The 19222-nt window shown below is 36.2% G+C and overlaps 1 protein-coding gene across 15 annotated transcripts in view; it reads right to left on the reverse strand.

Moving 5' to 3' along the window:
* PDE4D (phosphodiesterase 4D) overlaps positions 1-19222 on the reverse strand; it is a 1553091-nt gene that overhangs the window by 1203149 nt on the left and 330720 nt on the right. For all 15 annotated transcript variants that reach the window (XM_024446112.2, XM_024446110.2, NM_001364599.1 and 12 more), the window contains one exon: positions 13371-13501. In XM_024446112.2, coding sequence (XP_024301880.1) covers positions 13371-13412 — 42 coding nt within the window. In that variant the 5' untranslated portion in view covers positions 13413-13501. The remainder of the gene's footprint in view (positions 1-13370; positions 13502-19222) is intronic.

Raw genomic sequence — 19222 nt, forward strand, 5'->3', positions numbered from 1 at the left:
TGATCACAGAATATTGCATCAACCAAATTACTTTATAAGTTAATTTGAAATAGCATAACCTTATGCCAAGTACTTCAATACACACACACACACACACACACACACACACACACAAATATGCAAAATATTTGAACGTATTCAGACTTCTGTGGGCAATACAATAAACAAAACCATCTCCCCACATAACAATGGGACATTTAGAGCCCTTCCCAGTATTTCTGGGAAATACCTCCAAAGGGACAGGTGCTTCACCAACCCTAATTATTTGTCACAGCTTCCTCTGCACAGTTGTTCCAATTCCACAGCAATCATTGCTTTCACTCTGCCCCTGCTACCTTTCTTCCCTGTTTTGTCTCTAGGAGGAACACAGCCCTTCTCTTCCCAGCTTGAGGCAAAATTGTTACAATGCTGTTGTGATTACAGAAAGTTTAAAGAAAGGGTTGAGGGGAGAAAAGAAACAGACAAATCTTTAAAACTGGTTACTAGAACTCATTCATTCTAAAGAGGCTTTAACCAGGCCATCTTTGCTACAGGGACAATTGGTAGTCCCTCTTCCTAAGCCCTGTCTGCTGCCATGTGGCTCTATCCCTGCAGAACTTTCTTATATCTATTCACTTACCAGAGTCCTCCAAAGTACTGCCGCTCCCCAAACTTCATCTCTTGAGCAGTCAGGGGACAAGTTTAAAAATCCTAATACTTTATTATGCAAAAGAGTTTACCTTCCTTGTGATTTAACAAAGGCTAATAGGGATCCCCAACAAGCCTCCATTCATAATTAAAATGTCTTCCTAAACAAAAAATCCACTTTCTGTCATAGAGTGCAAAAGTATCTAGAGTTTACAATATAACATTGTTATCCAACTGTGAGGATAGCTATAAATATAGATAATTGACTATAAATATGTTACAGTTTCTCTCCAGTAGGCACATGGTGTAACAGGTACATTAGTACATAAGTGATGCCTACAGTTACATTTGTGTGGCTCCAAGGTTTAGTGTCCAAAGTAAGGAATTTGGAATCAGAAGAACTGAAGTATATCTAGGATTCACCATTACTAGTTGTGCATCTTGGCTAACTCACCTAATCTGTCTAAGGCTCATAAAATGAGGATAAATATAACTGCCTTTCCTACCTGTAAGTTTTTATAAAGGAAAAAAACAAGAAAATGTTGTAATAGTATATGGAAACTTAAAAGCATTTTGCAATTCTAAATTATTATTGTTATTCTTATTAGTCACATTAACACATATATTAGACTTTAATTCCATTCGAATCTGGTATAATAAATAATCTAACATTTCATCTAATCAGTCTTTGCTATAATTATTCCTCACAAATAATGAATTATGAATGATGGCTGTAACAGAAATTACACACACACACACACACAATCAGATCCACCTTAATATGAATTTAGTATTTAAAGGCTATCTTAAACTGTAATCAAAAGAAGTTGTGAAAAGACATAGATTCAAAACACTTAGTACACTATTAATAGGAAAAAATAGAGTTGCCACAGAAACAGCTAATGGAGCAACAGTCAGCAGCTTCCATATATAATTTTACTACTTATCACTACTGTGGTATATTTTAATGAGAACCATCTTGGGGAGAAAAAATAAGGTGATCCCCAGGGCATTGGTGGAAAGGGAAGTCAAGCTGAGATGAGGACTCAGAAATATGTGCCCACAAATACATGCAGTAACACTTGTTGCTTGTTTAGATGTTGGGAGGGATGATGAGTCTGGAGCTGAGGAAGGTTCCCAGGGCTCTGCCTTAGGCAACTGGATAGCTGAGGCAGTAAATATAATAGAAAATATTTAGGATATGTAGCAGTATGTTTAAAGATGAGGAAGAATAATGGATGCATCTAGTTTGGGAAATGTTGTGTAGATGTTATGAATGTCCAGCAAGCACTTGGTTAGAGTTCTGTGACTAAAAGTAGAAATGGGAACTAAATATGGAAATTGAGAGATAATCAAATAGAAGATAGTTAAGACATGAAAGGAGATATCTTATGATCTTTCAGGTGTCTTCATACCTTAAAATATTACATGGGCCAATGACTGAATCTTGGGGAACAGCATTGTTTAAGGAACATGCAGTCTCAGAAGGAAATAGCAATAACTACTAGAAAGAAAAATATAAATACTAGAATTGTCAAAAGAGATATACATGGACGGGAGTGACAGAAAGGACTGGATGGTCTAGTTCATAAACTAAGGTAAAAAGGAGAAATAGAAGAGAGATTAGCTAAATTGCAATTGAGCCTATAGAGGGAGGAGGCAATTGACTAACCCTCTGAGGCAATAGAGGTGTTGGTCTTGAATAGAAGAAACAGCTTTACCCTCTCAGATTTGAAAAAGGAAAGACAAAATAAAATGAGGATATAGGTGCATATTACTTTGGGGACATCAGACAGAATAGGAACCTAAAAAGTTCAGTCAGAAAAATTTAAATTCCTGTTTTAACTGTATTATTATTGGGCATAGAATTCTGGGTTACTGGGTTTTGTTTTTCTTTCAATACTTTAAAGATGTCATTCCTTTTTCTTCTTGCTCACAACATTTCTGAGGAGAAATTTGCTGTAATTCTTATCCTTACTTCTCTTTAGGTAATTTATCATTCCCTCCCTCTGGTTGCCTTTAAGGTTTTCTCTATGTTGTTGATTTTTAGCAATTTCAATATAACATGACTCTGCACGTGTGTGTTTATTTTGGTATATATCTTGCTTGATATACTTGGAGATTTTGAGTCTGTGATTTGGTGTCCATCATCAATTTTGGAAATTTTTTCAGCGATTTTTTTCTTCAAACATTTCTTCTGCCTCTTTTTCTCTTTCCTCTCCTTCTGTCATTTCAATTATGGATATGTCATGCCACTTAATATTGTACCAGAGTTCTTGGATGCTCTGTTATGTTCTTTCTTTCTCCCTTTTATTTCCACTCTTTTTTCTGTTTGGGTAATTTCTACTGACTTATTTTCAAGTCCAGTGATTATTTCCTTAGCTGTCTCACGTCTACTAACAAGCCCAAAGACATTTTTTAATCTCTTTGACTATGTTTTTAATTTCTAGCATTTCCATTTGATTTTTCTTAGTTTCCATATCTCCTCTGAAATTACCTATCTGATCTCACATGTGGTCAACCTTTTCCTTTAGAACCTTTAAAATATTAATCATAGTTACTTTAAATTCCTTGTGTGATAATTTTTATATGTGTCCCATATATCACATGTTTATGTGTATTATCTCTTCGGAGTGCTTTCTCTTGCCTTTTCATATGGTCATAATATTTTGCTGAAAGCCGGATATCTTGTGTAGGACAGTAGATACTGAGATAGATACTTTTGGATTCTTAAAGAGGAATAGATTGTGAAATGGCTTGCCAGTTGTTATTTTCTTAATATTTGCTCCCCCTTTAGCTTTGGGTCTTCCCTTAATGCTGGGCCCTAAAGAGAATGTGTCTCTTGAATTTCTTCCATATTCAACCATATTCCCATATTATTTTTACTCAACACTTGTTAGGCTGTTGGTAGCAGGCCAGGGAGGAAGGGCATTCCTTGATGTTCTGATTAAGACTCAGTCTTAGGTAGGTAATGTGTACCTCTGTATCAGCAATGTGGCCTTCACAAGTGCTCCTGCAACTTTCTCCAATTGTTGTGCAAATCCTAGCATATATTCCATACCCCACCCCTGGGGATAGAGCATTACTTTTTTCTCTTCCCCTCACCACGATCATTCTTCCTACTGCCACCATCACCAATGGGTTTCCTCCAGTTCCCTAAGACAATGATTTTTGCTATTCTCTTTGCCAATTAACTCTTTTGTTCCACTGGGAAATGGTTGTGGGTTTGAAGGTGGCTGCTGTTCTCCCCAGTCTTTCCTGTGAGTGCCTGGTGGGGTTTGTGGAGGAAAAGCCTGCTATAGGATGCACTCCCTATATCTGCCACCTCCAGTGTGTCACATTTTCATGCTAGCCCATACTCAGCCTTAGCAATTCATTAAAATGTTTAGCTGAATCATCTTGCTGGTTTACATGACATCTGGTGGTGTCTACCCAAGGAAAAACAAATGATGCCATCCTCTTTCTTCTTGCAGGTGCCTGTCTCTTTCCAGATTTGGAGTTGTTTGGTTGCCCTACGACCTAAATTTGCTGGTGCTTTTTTTTAAATTAATGAATAGGTAGTTTGTATAGATTTTTCCTTATGGTAAGAATGAGAACGACACTCTGAAGCTCTCTGCATCTCTGAGCTTAAATCAGAAGCTAGAGAGTTTACTCTGGAATTTCTTAATTTACCAAAATAAAGAACTTGAGATTATTTACTGTGAGTTATAGAAATGATAAGGGTTTGGTGAGGATGATGATTGTTTGGATTCATTGATTTTTCCATGTCTTTAAATATTTTTATTAGAATGGGGGTACTCTTGGCTGATAACTGATCCCAGTATTTTCTAAAGTCTTAAATGAAAACATCTGGGAGTGTGAGACACGAAATGTTATTTTAAAAGAAAAGGTGTTATTCCAGCTTTGAGGAAAGATTGCTCTTTTAGTTTGACAAAAGACTGGTTAAGGTCTGTGTCTGGAACATAGATGTTCCAGTCTAAATGCCTTTGCATAACGCTGTAAAAGGAGTTTTTTGTTGTGGGCAGAGTTGTATCTTTGTAAATTATTATGTTTACTTGAACTTGGAATAAGGCGTTTCTCCTGGCTTTCCTGGAGTAAAGGGCCTGGAAACCATGTAGGATATAAGAAGAAAGACATTTCACTGTGGGAAGATAAGCAAAGCAACAGGGGGTAGGTCAGTAACTAAGCAGAAAGGACTGGGTTTGTCCTGTAATGCCAGAAATGATTATTTTTTTATATTCAGTCCTATAGTTTTCTTTCTACACTATGATTTTTTCCCATTATGTCCAGGACTCAGTAAAGTTCGGTTGCATGTTACCGCCTGGAACTGGTTATAATTCAGGAAAGTGAGGAAGAAACAACACTGTCCACATTTGGCACAACAATTCAGAGGTCTCTGTTAATGGAAAAACAGACAGGCTTGGTGGGACAACAGGTGAAATGCAGGGGTCAAAATGGTAGTTTTCAGAAGAGAGCTGGTCGCTGGTCAAAGCTGCTGTCATTGGAATACAAAGCAAAAGGATTCAGATTTCTTCAAAGCACAACCATTCAAAATATTACAGCTCTTATCAGCAACATATATGGGTAAATTAAGAAAATTAATGTTTAAAGCAGCAAAAAATTTAAATAATTAATTCTCTGAGGTCCCAGTAAAATGAGGTTATTTTCAATTCCATCAATTCTTAGAGGCAATGAATGTCCGACAAACAGAGGCAGTGATTTTGCATACTTGGCAGAGATTCTTTGAACTCAATTTATTAATCAGGATCCTGTTTATACTTTGGGTGGAAAGGATAGTCATTTGTTAGGTTAAGAAGAACCTATTCTTTGACTGCAAAGTTCATAATGTGAAAAATTATTATTGAGCCTGTTCTAAGAAGTACACAATCTTGAAAATACATTGTCATAGCTTTGGAGTTGAAAGAAATCTTTTCGTTTATTTAATCTACTCCTCTCATGTTACACATGAGTGATATAGACACCGGTGAGGTCATTCACCCAAAGTCATGTAACGGTAAGAATTTGTAAAGCTAAGCCACAAGATAATTTAATGAATGACGTGTATTACTGTAATGAAAGTATACAACTTTAGTTTTAAATGAGCAGATGCCAATTAACATATATGTTCATCTTCCTCATGAATGTCTACATATGCACAAATTATATACACATTTATAAATATAATAGTGAGAAGTTAAAGATTATAAACTAAAATGTTTAAATGTTTTATAATTCAGAGTATGATACTAACAATACAAATTTAAAGAACCATAAATATTTCATCAGATTGTTAAAAGATCTTGAAATAAGACCATTTTATAATTTCCTCAAAAAATACTGTCCCAGTGCTAGAAAACCCTGTCAGAAAGTTTTAACTTACGTCTATTCTGAGTCACTTTTACCAACATCTAATTGCATTTTATGGTGGTTGTTTTCAATTCTCCCTTCCTGCATTAGGACATTTTCAGCATTGTTTCAGGAAATCAAAACATGTAAATGCTTTCCAAATAGACAACAATACTACCCACTCAAGGATATGGTCTTCTTTGACTACTTGCCAATTATTTCATTTATGTTGGGTGAGGAATGCATGTTCTGAATCCCTGCATGAGCACTTGCAAAGAAAAAAAAACAATTGGAAACTTTTACTTTTTCAGCCCTTATATGCAGACATACTGGAGATCTCTCATCTTTTCCTCCAATCCCTTGTTTATTTTGAGACTACTGTTTCTGAGCAATGTCTAGGTCTCTTGGTATGTTCAAATAGAACCCTGCTGGCAAATCAATGCTATATAATGACCTCTTCTAGAAAAATAAAAGTTGGACATTTAATAATATTTTTAAGGACATACAATAAGCAGAGATGATGACATTTAAAGCTTGTTGTTTCTTGTTTTAAATTAATTTATAGAAAGGATTGTTTAGGTTGTGGTACTGTGGTGTTATCATTTGTTTTCAGTAATTTTAATACATTTATCTAAAAGCCAATATGATTTCATAAGCAAGATCCTCTGAAAATCTTAAAGCCCAACCTGGAAGTGAATTGGTGGTGTGTTAACTCTCTGAACTGCTGGGGTACCATTTGGTATACAGTTCCGTGGGATGTAACTGTCATAGTTTGGTCAAATAGTTGGTGAGGGCTTAACAAATATCGTAGATTGTATTAAATTCAGGATGTTGAGGGCTGCAAGTACAGTCAAATCCTTCTCACGGAAGCAATATTGCCAAAACAGAAGTCCAGACTACCTGAGTAGGAAGAATGGCAGTGGGAGGGGAATATTACCATAAAAGAGTTATAAGCTAAATGTCTTATTCTCAGTTCTTATGCTATAAGTAGGGCGGTATCCCTACCCCCATGTGTGTGGCGTATGACATATCCTGGGTAATAGGAAGAACAAGAAAGCAGGGTCAGGGTCTCTCTAACTATATACCAACGAACCATTCTTGGCCTTGCTGTCATGGCTTTTAATTTGCACAAGTTAGGGAAACTTGTGAACTGACAAGAGTGACATTTTTCAACAATAAAAGTAAAGTTGTTATCTGCTTATTGATGGACTAATTCCATTTAGGAAAGCTTTAAGACTTAAAGGTTTTGGCGCAGAAGTATTGAACACAATTGATTATTGTATAGCATTTTTAAAATGATTTCTGCTTGATGATTTGGTTTGGATTTTTTGTTTGCTTTATTTTTTAATGTGATTTCAATGCTGTTTTTCTCATTTTACCCTTGAAAAAAATTATGCAAGCTATTGGAAGCATTTGATAATAAAACTAATTACTTATGGTTCTCTTACTCCCACTTCTTCTACCAAGACATAGATGCACAGATGCAAAGCCAGAACTATAACTCAGGGACAATTCCAGTTCTGCCCTTGAAAGTGCTGACCATGGGAAACAATGTAAACACACTAATAATTTTAATTGAAGTCAATTTTTTAGTTTTCAAAACATTTGCCATTTCAATAGTGAAAAAAAGCTAAACAAAATTTTAAAAGAAAATTACCTTCAGTTAAAAATAAGCAGCCATTATAAACATTTTTCTAGAGCAAATACTACTGATAGAAAACTCCACCAGTTATGCTTTTCTTCAAAATTTCACTTTGTTATAGAGAGATTTTGTCTGTAAGAATAATTTTTTAATATTCATTAACAATGCAACAAGATTTCTCTCCATTTTTTTGTATCTGTGGTGTTTACACTGGTAAGTACAATATATGCAATTATTTCTTGGACGTAATCATTTGTAATTCAACTTCAACTTGAAATTGTCCAAAAATGAAATAGCAAACACATCACAGTACAGAAAAAAGTGGAACTTTTTCCAAGATGACAATTTAATGATTGGCTTTGGCCACTAAAACAGTCATGTGACATGTGATTGATTTAAAGCAAATGGTTGCTGATCAGTCGCTGTTCTTTCAGACCTTTCCTGTCATTCTCACATTTATTTATACTCTTGGCTATTCTTATACTATTGTTGATTATCTGAGAAAAATTCTTTTTATCTACTCTGAAATAATCTATGTTTCTGCAACAATGAGCATAATTGTCAATTATAGCACATTATTCACAGCTCAAAATATCCCTACTAAACAGGGTGCCCACAACGTGATGAAGTGCAAATACAGAGAGACTTCAGAGAGATACAGAACTTCAGCCTTCCTAAAAAGAATTAAAGATTAAAATGGGATACAGTTAGGTGATCAGGGTTAGGGAGACAGGGTGGTGAAATAATTTTAACAAATTGTAAAAATTATAAATTTAGTTATCAGATATGCTCTATGAGGGTAGAGAGAACATGTATCTTACATTGGATACTCAGAGCCTAACACACAGTAGCCATTCAGTAAATATTTGTAGAACTTTGTAAAGAAGGAGAACAAGCTGGAAGGCAGGTATAAGGACCAAAGGAGTGAAATCTCTAAAACTACAACTTCTCATATCAATTTGTTGTGAATAAAGACACAAGCAGGAACTTGGTTTTGTTTTGTATTTTGTGCTTTTCAAAGGATTTTACCTACAGCATCTCCCGTGACCTTCTTGGACCCTGCTGAGTGAATACCAGTGAAAAAAATCAGTTTATACATCCTTAACTTTATTAGGATTCTAAGCTGCAACAGCTTTGTCAATCTCGTAGCTTAGGTGGGGTTGAATATAGTAGAGAATTGAAGCCCATCTAGGAAGGAATTTGTTATTTTTACTTTAACCATACAAATAAAAAATACTCTATCTTACAGGGTAATTGTGAGGAAAAATGAATGCAGATAGCTCTGAAGTGCCATAACAAAATGTACCATCTTTTCTAAATTTATTTTTTGGCTGCCCACTCCAGGAAGACACTAAAAAATGCAGATAAAATGGCATAAATAACTCACCCTGGGTCATTAGGTGAGTGACTGCTTCTAAAAACTCAGCAATGTAAAGGTACAGATGGAAAAAAATATATATTTTCTTAAGAATAAAATCACTTTAGTTTACCAAGTTTGTACAATTTTTTAAAGTCTTCCATGAAAATAAGCAATATTCTAGGGAGCCTACTGGGAAAAATTTCACCAGATGGGCTCCTAGCCCCCAGACTCAAAACTGACAGCCTATTTAGGTGGGCTTTAAATTCATTATGAAAGAATGTGCCAGATACCCTATGTCTTCCAAACACCAAGGAGTTGCTTCCAGTTTTGAATGAACACTGAACAACAATTCTATCAAAAAAGAACAAGGAACATCAAAGACATCTGGTGAGTGACAAATTTATCCAAAAGTAGAACATCCATAAGAATCCTAAGTCAAATAAAGGGCAATTTCATCAAGAAAATTAACAAATCCAATTAAGTAGATGACATCTTGAATATCTTCAAACTGGTAGGAAGAAAATGATTCAGTGTACTAGAAAATTGGGAATTTAATGCAAAAGACTACAAGAAAGTTTAGAATTTAATACACAAGAAAATTTATTAATGAATAAGAATTAAAATTTATCTAGTTTATTCTCCAGATGAGAAGATTTATAAAACTTCATGAGTTTGGAGAATAACAGGGATATTATAAAGAAAAGAAAATGCTAAAATTTTTACTTTAACTCCTGATTTTAAAATATATAATTACAACAAAAATTTTTATATCCTGTTCTCTTGTCTGTACCTTTCCTTCCCTCCCCTGATTAGCTAAAAGCCAGTAAGAAAGCAGGCATTAGCAGAGGGAAGAAGGGTAACTGAGATAGTCAGTTCTGAAATATATAAACATCTGAAAAGTTAAATAGTAAATCCATTGATAGGACAAGATACTTCAGAGACCTGTCATTGGATTAGATGTTAAGAAAGAACAATATAAAATAAGCAAACTAAGAATAGTGAAGAAAGGGGAAAATCATTTTCAGTAAAATTAAAATTAGCTTCTAGGTCTATGAAGTGATTATTAGACTTCAAAAATCATTGGTAAGAATGTCCCTAACATAAAATTTAGAAAATAAGAAATGAAGAGAAAGATGTTGACCAGATCATTTTCAGTGTTACCAAATTGGGAAAACATACAGATTCCATTATACTAGTCACTACCCTTTGGGCTTAAACAAGACAGTGACTTATTAAATCAATCATCCCTTAAGAATATCAAATTCACCTGAGACCAGCCTGACCAACATGGTGAAACCCTGTCTCTACTAATAAGACAAAATTAGCCAGGTGTGATGGCGCATGCCTCTAATCCCAGCTACTCAGGAGGCTGAGACAGGAGAATGGCTTGAACTTGGGAGGCAGAGGTTGCAGTGAGCTGAGATCCCGGCATTGCACTCCAGCGCCGTGGCTCATGCCTGTAATCCCAGCACTTTGGGAAGCCGAGGCGGGCGGATCACGAGGTCGGGAGATTGAGACCATCCTGGCTAACATGGTGAAACCCTGTCTCTACTAAAAATGCCAAAAAAATTAGCCGAGCGTGGTGGCGGGCACGTGTAGTCCCTGCTACTCGGGAGGCTGAGGCAGGAGAATGGCGTGAACCAGGGAGGCGGAGCTTGCAGTGAGCCGAGATCGCGCCACTGCGCTCCAGCCTAGGCAACAGAGCAAGACTCCGTCTCAGAAAAAAAAAAAAAAAAGAATATCAAACTCTCTTATGGACCAAATGTTTGTGTCCCCCTGAAATACATTTGTTGAAGCCCTAACCCCCAATGTGATGGTTTTTGGAGGTGGGGTCTTTGGGAGGTAATTAGTGTTAGATGAATTCATGAAGGTGGGGCCCTAATGATGGGATTAGTGACCTTAAAAGAAGCAGCAGCAGAGATCTTGCTTTCTCTCTCTGCCATGTGAGGACCCAGGGAAAAAGTAGCTTTCGGCAAGCCATCAGCAAACCAGGACGAGAGAGCTTACCAGGAACAAAATTGGTTGGCATTTTGATCTTGAACTTCCCAGCCTGCAGAATTGTGATAAAATACTTTTCTGTTTAAGCCACCTAGTCTATGGTATATTGTAGCCCAAGCTGATTAATATACTCTGTTTGCCCTGATGCCTTGATTTTATATTTATTTGGGAACTGGTCTTTGATTCAACTTACGAATGAGCACAACATGGTATAGAATCATAGAAATTCATAACTGGTAGGAAACAGAACACTCACATAGTTTAACCACCCATCTTATGCCTGAATTGTTTGAGTTGAAGAGTGACTAAATGGTCTTCCAAGACACACTGGAACCCCTCTCATGAGAGGAACTCACTAAGTAAGGTGATCGTTTAAGGATGATCTTTTTTCTACCTCTTTTGTATGCCTTAAATTTTCACAATGAAAGATGCAAGACCTACAAGAGAGGCATGTAGGGAGGAACAGAGACTGTTTTAAATTTCGAACATTTTCTTTGGATTTCCAAATGTCAGAATGCCAAAGATAAACATCCTCAGATTCTAAAGAGAACTAATTCTTTAAACTTTCTTCATCAAAACCAGGAAAAATCTACCTCTAAGTATACAATTTTGGATTATATTATGGCAAAAACGTAAGCGTTGGAGGGTTATATGCTCAGACCAGAGCAAAATAAAATTTTATAGCCCTAAAGTGACAACTTCTAACTAGGCAATAAGTCTGGCTCTTTTTTTCTGATAAACATTAACTTCTGCTTAGAGTCATTTAATTAAGTGGAAGCATTTTCTTTATGCCAGTGGATTCTCAAGAAGCTAGGAAGCAGTGAAATGAGAGTTCTACTGTTTACATTTTGACAAATGTAGGCAACTCAGGTTCTCTTAATCTGGAAAGCTTGAGCCTTTCCACCAAGATAAAATTTTTTGCATTAAACAAATACAAATAGGAAGTCTCCTAGCATCATTAAGTAGTCTCAGTTCCTTAAAGTCACCGCTCAGTTAATCATTTGCTTTTACAATGTTTTCCTCCAAGAATAGGGAAATGTTTAATGACATTTGTAATTATTCAAAATATCCTCCCTTTTGCCTTTACACATTTTTTTTTCAGATCTCATGTCTCTGAAATTCAATAACAGAAAACATTATATGAATAGTTTGCTTTCATATTTAATTTATAATAAGAAAACTCAGTAAGAGAAAGATGTGTTTGCAGTTTGGTAGTTTGTATGCAGGTCACCTCCTATTACAGTGAGTGACTTTGTATGATGATAAAAGGAATTCCAGGCTCAAATCCATGGCCCCTTCTTTTATGCAATAATCCATACAACCAAACACCAACCAGTAAAACACATAAATTTGAACAATTCCTCAGAGTTTGTTGAATTTACTTGGTTGGTTATTAAACACGGTATTCAGTCAAAGGATTGGCATATCTCTCAGCATATCCTCATTTTTTAACAAACACAGTTGGGCATACTATACTTTATCTGCACATACTCATGCCTCACCCTTAAAAGCTGGATGGTAACTCCATAGAAAGAATGAAAGATGGCCTTGGGCCACCACAATAGAATCACTGGTTATAACACAAAGTGTTCCCATACTAGAGAAATGTGTTTGCATTTGTGGTTTTTCTGATGCCTTCAAATTAATGTTCCTACGTCACAAGTACATCTGTTTGGATGCCTTATCCCCCTTGGGTAAATGAACAAAGGGATGTGTTCTTAGCGCTTGCTTGATGGAAATTAATAGTCTGCTTTCATCCTTTCCTTGTGTGGCTTTCTTTGAGTTGCTCTATTTGCTTTTTTCCATACACTAATATAAATTTAAAAAGTATCATGACTGTGGTACCTTAAGAACACTACATAATTGGAAATAAGGTTTAACCTTCAGTAGAGCCCTGAGGATGTTCAATTTAAAATGTTTTTAAAAAAAGATTAAAAGAAGAAATTAGAGATATATGCCAGGGTAGAAAGCTCATAGAAGGGAAGAACTTTCAGAATGTGACTGGTTGAAGTAACTAATAACATAAGTATAATTTATGCTTTTAGACTTGCCCAGAAGGTTTCATATTCAAGACATAAATTCCCTATATTTTGACTTTTAATCATATATTTTCTGCATGCACTCAAAAATTAGAGTGTTCAACATCAGGCTTGTAGACGTATATGAATGAATGGTAAGATATAAACTAGCTGAAAGAATTCTCATCAAATGCTAACAGGTCACACAGACAAACTAGTCTTTGTTTGTTAATAAGCTGTGTACAGTCAGAGAACTGAAAGTTGACTAAACGTTTCCCACAAGCCTAATCATGATAGCATAGCATTAAAATCCAAAACCAAAACTAAAATGTTATATGTACATGTGTTTAGAAAATAGATGAAAACAAAAGTTACTTACACTTTTGCTCCGAGAAAGCAAATCACAGGTATTTCTTTTCATCGTGGTGTTTTAAGTAATTAAAATGGGAACTAGTGTTTCCAGTGTCAATGATCTCACTGCACGTATCCACTCAAAAGCCAACTGGAATGCTGAAAAGAAAAGGAAGGAAATGTTTAATCAAGTTATGATTAACACTTGCACTTTGAAATGCTGTCTTAGACTGGGACAGTTAATTCTTAAATAATTCATCGGAACAGGCTAAAACGGTGCTGTGTTTAAAGCAATAAAAAAGTATACATAAGCAACATTTCCAAAACAGCTTTTGTTAAATGTAAGTTAGAGATTTCAAGCACCATCTGTTTTCCATTAAATATTCAACTCTACAGTTTTAGTGGCTGAAAAAAAAAAAAAACAGATATGATAGCCATAACCTAAAGTTACATGTATAAAATGAAGATGCAAACTGAATTGTGTATATGTTGATTCTTGTTGGGACAGCTAAGGATTCGACAATTTTTCACTAAGGGATCACTAAGGTGATCCACTGCTGGAGGAATCTTACTTACATGTGAAGAAAAGAGCCCTCTGAGCAACTGCATCATTGCGTCTTGTTTCACTGACAATAATCAATAGTACCTTGAAGCCAATCCAATGACTCTTCAGTAAATTTAGTGAGTTATCTACCCCTTTAGTTCTTAGTGGTTGTAAGGAATACTTGAGAAGATGAGAACAAAAAGTATAAGCAATAACTGTTAAGTAAGCAGTAACTGTTATTTCAAGGAATATTCCAGAGTAATTGCCACTTGAATGACATTGACATCCTCATTACCTAACTAATCTTTGCTTTCTCCTAGACACTACAGTGGAGATTCTCCATTTTGAGTTTTGAAGAAAGAACAAATCGAATAGCTATATGTGCTGTGTTCATTTATGATATTCTGCTACATCAGGACACAACCTACATATTTATAAGATATATTTGCATGTGGGCTGATATTTTCTTTCTGGGAAAGAACTTACTGTAAGGGAAAGAGGATAAAAGGCTTGGTCAAACCACAAAAACTCTGATATTGCAGGTTTAGGCTAATAGTGTAGGTGTAGGCTGATGCTAACAGCAGCATGTAGTTCTATCATTTGGGTTTGTTGTAAGCTTCTCAAAAAACATGTGTCTGAGACTTAAGGAAAAGAGTAACAGTGATTAAGGTCTGAAGGAGCTGGTTTTGCTAAAATGATTGACAATATTAAAGTACAAAGTAGTATGAATTATACATTTAAAAGATAAAAAACAAAGTAACTATGTATCATTTTTTAAAAAAACATACAAAATGAAAGCAGAGAAGCCTGCAAGGAACACAGCCTTTTTAAAGGCTGAAAATACTTGTTTGGAATATATGTGAGTCACCCTCTCAAGTCTTCTCAAAATAAAAGGAAGACACTTTGCGGGAGGTAAGAGGTCCCGTAACAGCAAAGTAGAGGTAGAAACAGAGAAGTAAGGTTCACTGTGGCTAAGAATATCTCTGGATGCAACTTGGGGACTCAAAGGGAAACAAGGGACAAAGCCTTCTTCCAAGGTTGATAGAAATGCTTGCCTGAAGATTAAAGAAAAATGCACAATCAAATGTGAGTTGCTAAGATAAATACTGTTTCTCTGAGTGTGTATGGATTTTTTCTAAAGGAGTAGGATTTGAAGGGAGGAGCTGATCCACAATGGAAAGTTCTCAGCTAGTACACCTCCAGGAATTGAATCACCTTTACAAATTAGCATCCTATAGGTCCCAGAAAATGCAGAATTATGTTACTCATGTAATTTAGGAATTGGACAGAAATTAATACAAACTGAATGAAATATTCCATATCTAGGGAGAAAAAACTTTAGATAACAGCCGTAGGAAACATATATTATCAGAGAAAAACTTATTCAAAATATTTAATTATTCATCCAGGATTTAATGAGTAGCCTTAGGGACAACCATGGAATAGTTGCCCTACTGGGCTAGTGACTCAATGGTAACAAATCAGTCAAATCAGACAAATAATGGATTTGACCTGATAAGCTTTGCTGAATTAACCAGGTTTTTAAAAAATTTGCCTTGAAATCATTTAAAGACCATCATTAAGAGATACTTTCCTATGGGAATTTAGAACTTAGAGAAATTTCAATAGGCAGAGAGATTCAGTTGAAAACTGACTGCTGATGGAATGGCTCTTCTCACCCTGTATAGCTAGGAGGCACCTAGCGTCAGTAAAAGGGTATAGACTTTGGAACCAAATAGGTATAGGTTGGAATTTCAGCTCTCCACTGGCATTCTATGTAGCTTTTAGGTACATTATTTGATTTATCTGAACTTTTTCCAGATCTACAAAAGAAAGATAATAATACACATATGTGTTTTCAAAATGAATGAGGTAAAAAGTATTGTCTAGGAGAATGTTTGGCTCATAGGAGGTATTTGGGTCTCACCATCATCATATCTTTATCATCATCCATCATCACTACCTTCTTTTTCTCTTAGTATCAAATGGCAAGTAAAAACAGCCCATTCTTGTTTTTTCTTCTATAAGTGCTAACCTCTCTCAAATAATACATATGTAGGCAGATCTACTTTCCACTAACCAGTATGAATAATCTACCAGTTGAAGGTCCAAGAATAAACAGACAGCATACTTTTATTAGGATCATTTACAGCAGGTTCAACAAAGAGACTCTTTAAGGAGATGTTGGTAGGGTAGAGGAATCCACAAAGGATGGCACAGTACCTGGAACTAGCAACAGCGAAGTTTTCACCCTAGGAGGGATGGGTTGCCCATACCTAGGAAAAAGCATCACACAGAGTGGGCTGCCTTGAAAAGGGAAGTTGCTCTCTGGGACACAGCTAGACCCTAAAAAGAAGAAGACAACCAGTTGCACGCAGTCTCATTTTCCTTTCTCCATCTGTCTCCTCCTAGGACTCCCCACTAACCAAATGCAAGCAAGCAGGAGGGCAAAGGAGGAAGAAGTACATCTGACTGGTCAGCCTTCCAGGGTTCAAAGCCCCCCAAGGTAGGGCAGGGAGGAGAGTGGAGATGGAGGGGAAATGGTAGATGTGCTCTGCAGTCTATGAAGAGGATTGCATGTTCTGCTACCTCATTTATCCTTAAAAAAATCTCTATAATGTATCATTAAACTTTCCAATACTCCTGTGAGGTAGACATTGTTAATATGTTTTCCCATGGCACAAACGAGGAAATCAGCAGCAACGAATGAAGTAAATTGCCCAGGAATGGCAGAACCAGTATTCACACCTGATTTGTCTGCCTCAAAATCCACGTTTTTGTCTACTCTTCCATAGTGCTTTGCTGCCAATAGCATGAACCAGTGCATTTTAATTATGAACAAGTGGTAACCTCTGCAAAAATCAAAGCTGTGCCTAAACTAAAGAATGTTTGATGAAAAGGTTGACTCTCAGGAAGGCAGTTATCTTAGTTCCTGCAAGTTTCTCTCTCAGCAAAGATAATGTGGTGAGACTGCAGAAAAGCTTTCTCCCTCCAGGTGCACTAAAAAGAAAGCCAGGCGAGAGAACACTCACACGTGCAATTTCGTTACGATAGGAGTTTCCACATAAAGTTAATTAGAAAGAAGGAAGAGTCAGCTCCTGCAGGGAGAACACTTTAGAAATAAAAATGAATAGAGGAGGTGGATAAGACAGATAGTGCTGGAATATTCAGAGATGGAATTAGATGGACCACCTATATACATTTTGCTGTGTCAATGCAAAGGGAATTAAGACAGTTTCTATCCTAGAGATTAAAGATTTATATAGCAGAAAATGTCTTGAACTGGTCATCAGATGAAATAAGTTCTACTTTCATTGCTACGTCATATACACAAACTGTATGGTATTAGGAAAATCCCTTCCCTTTTTTCCCCTCATATCTCCACAACCCACCTCACAGCGTTGTTATGGGGATTAATCAGATAATATCTCAGAAAAATTTCCGGGGACTTTAAGTTCCCTGCAAATATAAATCTATGTATTGAAACAGCAAATGTCCCCATACATAATGACATCCTTAAATATGAGTGAAAAGGGATTCCAATCATCCACAAAATATTAGAGAAGCTACTGAACAGGACATGTTTTATATATGTAAGAAGAATTCTTTAATCTCCTCTTTTTGAACTAATACTTTTTTCTTCTACATAGTAAGTCAGTTCATACAGTAACTGCTGAATTATAAAGCCACTCAGATGCATTGGTTTTAAAAAGTTTATTGAGCACCTTATATGTGCCAGGCACAGTACTAAGCTCTCAGATAAACAACAAACTTTCTTGATGCAAAGGGAAAGAATTGTTTGGGTACAGTTGCCTCTGAGTGATCAAGGTGTAATGGATTAGCTCTGTCTCTAACTTACTGTTGTCTCCAACTCATCAAAAGATATATTTTTCTAGGGTTGCATAAATGAAACCAAACTTGGCAGTTTATTCCCTTGATTAGATTCTCATCTAAATGAAGAATGAATACATGTGGCATGTATAAAAAGAGAAGCTTGATCACAATCAAAGACAACTCCAAAGGAATATAATAAAAACAGGCTTAATTTATCAAGGTTTACTCACCAAAGTATCTGCAGGAAGGAAATTAGGAGGAGGCAACACAAGAATTAAATACTCAAAAAGTTAAAAGAAAAGAAACATACAAGGATGGAATAACAGATTTTTCATGGGAATGGTTGAATTATTGCCTTGGGCTCTTAAATGTCCACTAATTTGCCCTCTACACACGTAAGATAGATAATGTGAACATCTGCTTCAGTTGGCCCTCTGCTACATTGGTAGCAGAAACAAGGGAAGAAAGTTCTGGATATCTCCTCATACCTTCTAAAATTGTGAATTAAAAGAAAGGACTTCTTATTCCAGATCTAAAGATGACAATAGAGATTTCCTGCTATTTACATTTTCTCTCTTTTCTCTAGAGTGCTGTTTATCTGAAGCTATGCTTTATCTGAGCTCCTGCTAGAGGCTATAGAATCTGAGATTTAGAAAGAACGTAGAGTACAAATAGGGTAATTGAAGTATAGGGAACATAAGTAGTCTGCCTAAGGTCATAGAACTGCCTGGGACAACACAATAATGAGAGGACCCTGTATTCCATGGCCATTGCTGTGGCTAGCTGATAATATTGCCCTGTGCATGCATTTTCCTAAAACTAGTTTTATCTGTCAACCCATCTTGTAGTCTTCCCAGCACAGTTTAACATCTTGAAACTTGCCAAAGTCAGTGCAATCTACCTGTAACCACAAGGATGGCTTTATATAATCAGGTTGTAGCTTATGCTCAGTAGGAACTCCAGAGTGATGTGTTTCAACTAGAAGAGTCAAGTGATCTGTGATTTGCATGCTTAATTTGGCCTTACCTCACACTGTATCTCCCAACACCAGCCCTCTACCCTCCAGGCTGGTCTCATCTCTGCCGCACCTGAGACACATCCATTTCTACCTCTTGGCCTTAGATTCATGCCCTTTAATTTTTGTTCTCTTCATTTTACAGAACTCTTCCTATTCAAAGTCCAACAAAAGCCCTTCTTTCTAATAACAACTTCCCCTACTGCGCCAAGTCACATAGATTTCTACTGACTCTGAGGTCCAATAACAAAAAGTATGTTGTACCACAAACTCATCTACTAGCTAACATTTTTTTTTCAATAATTGTTTTATGGGTTTAATCTTTGCTTCTTCAACTGGGGCATTGATATGGTTTGGCTGTGTCCCTACCCAAAATCTCGTCTTGAATTATAATCCCCATAATCCCCACGTGACAAGGGAGAAACCAAATGGAGGTAATGGAATCATGGAGGCTGTTTTCCCCATGCTGATCTCATGATAGTGGGTG

This window comes from Homo sapiens, chromosome 5, assembly GCF_000001405.40.
Source record: "Homo sapiens chromosome 5, GRCh38.p14 Primary Assembly".
NCBI classification, from domain to species: Eukaryota; Metazoa; Chordata; class Mammalia; order Primates; family Hominidae; genus Homo; species Homo sapiens.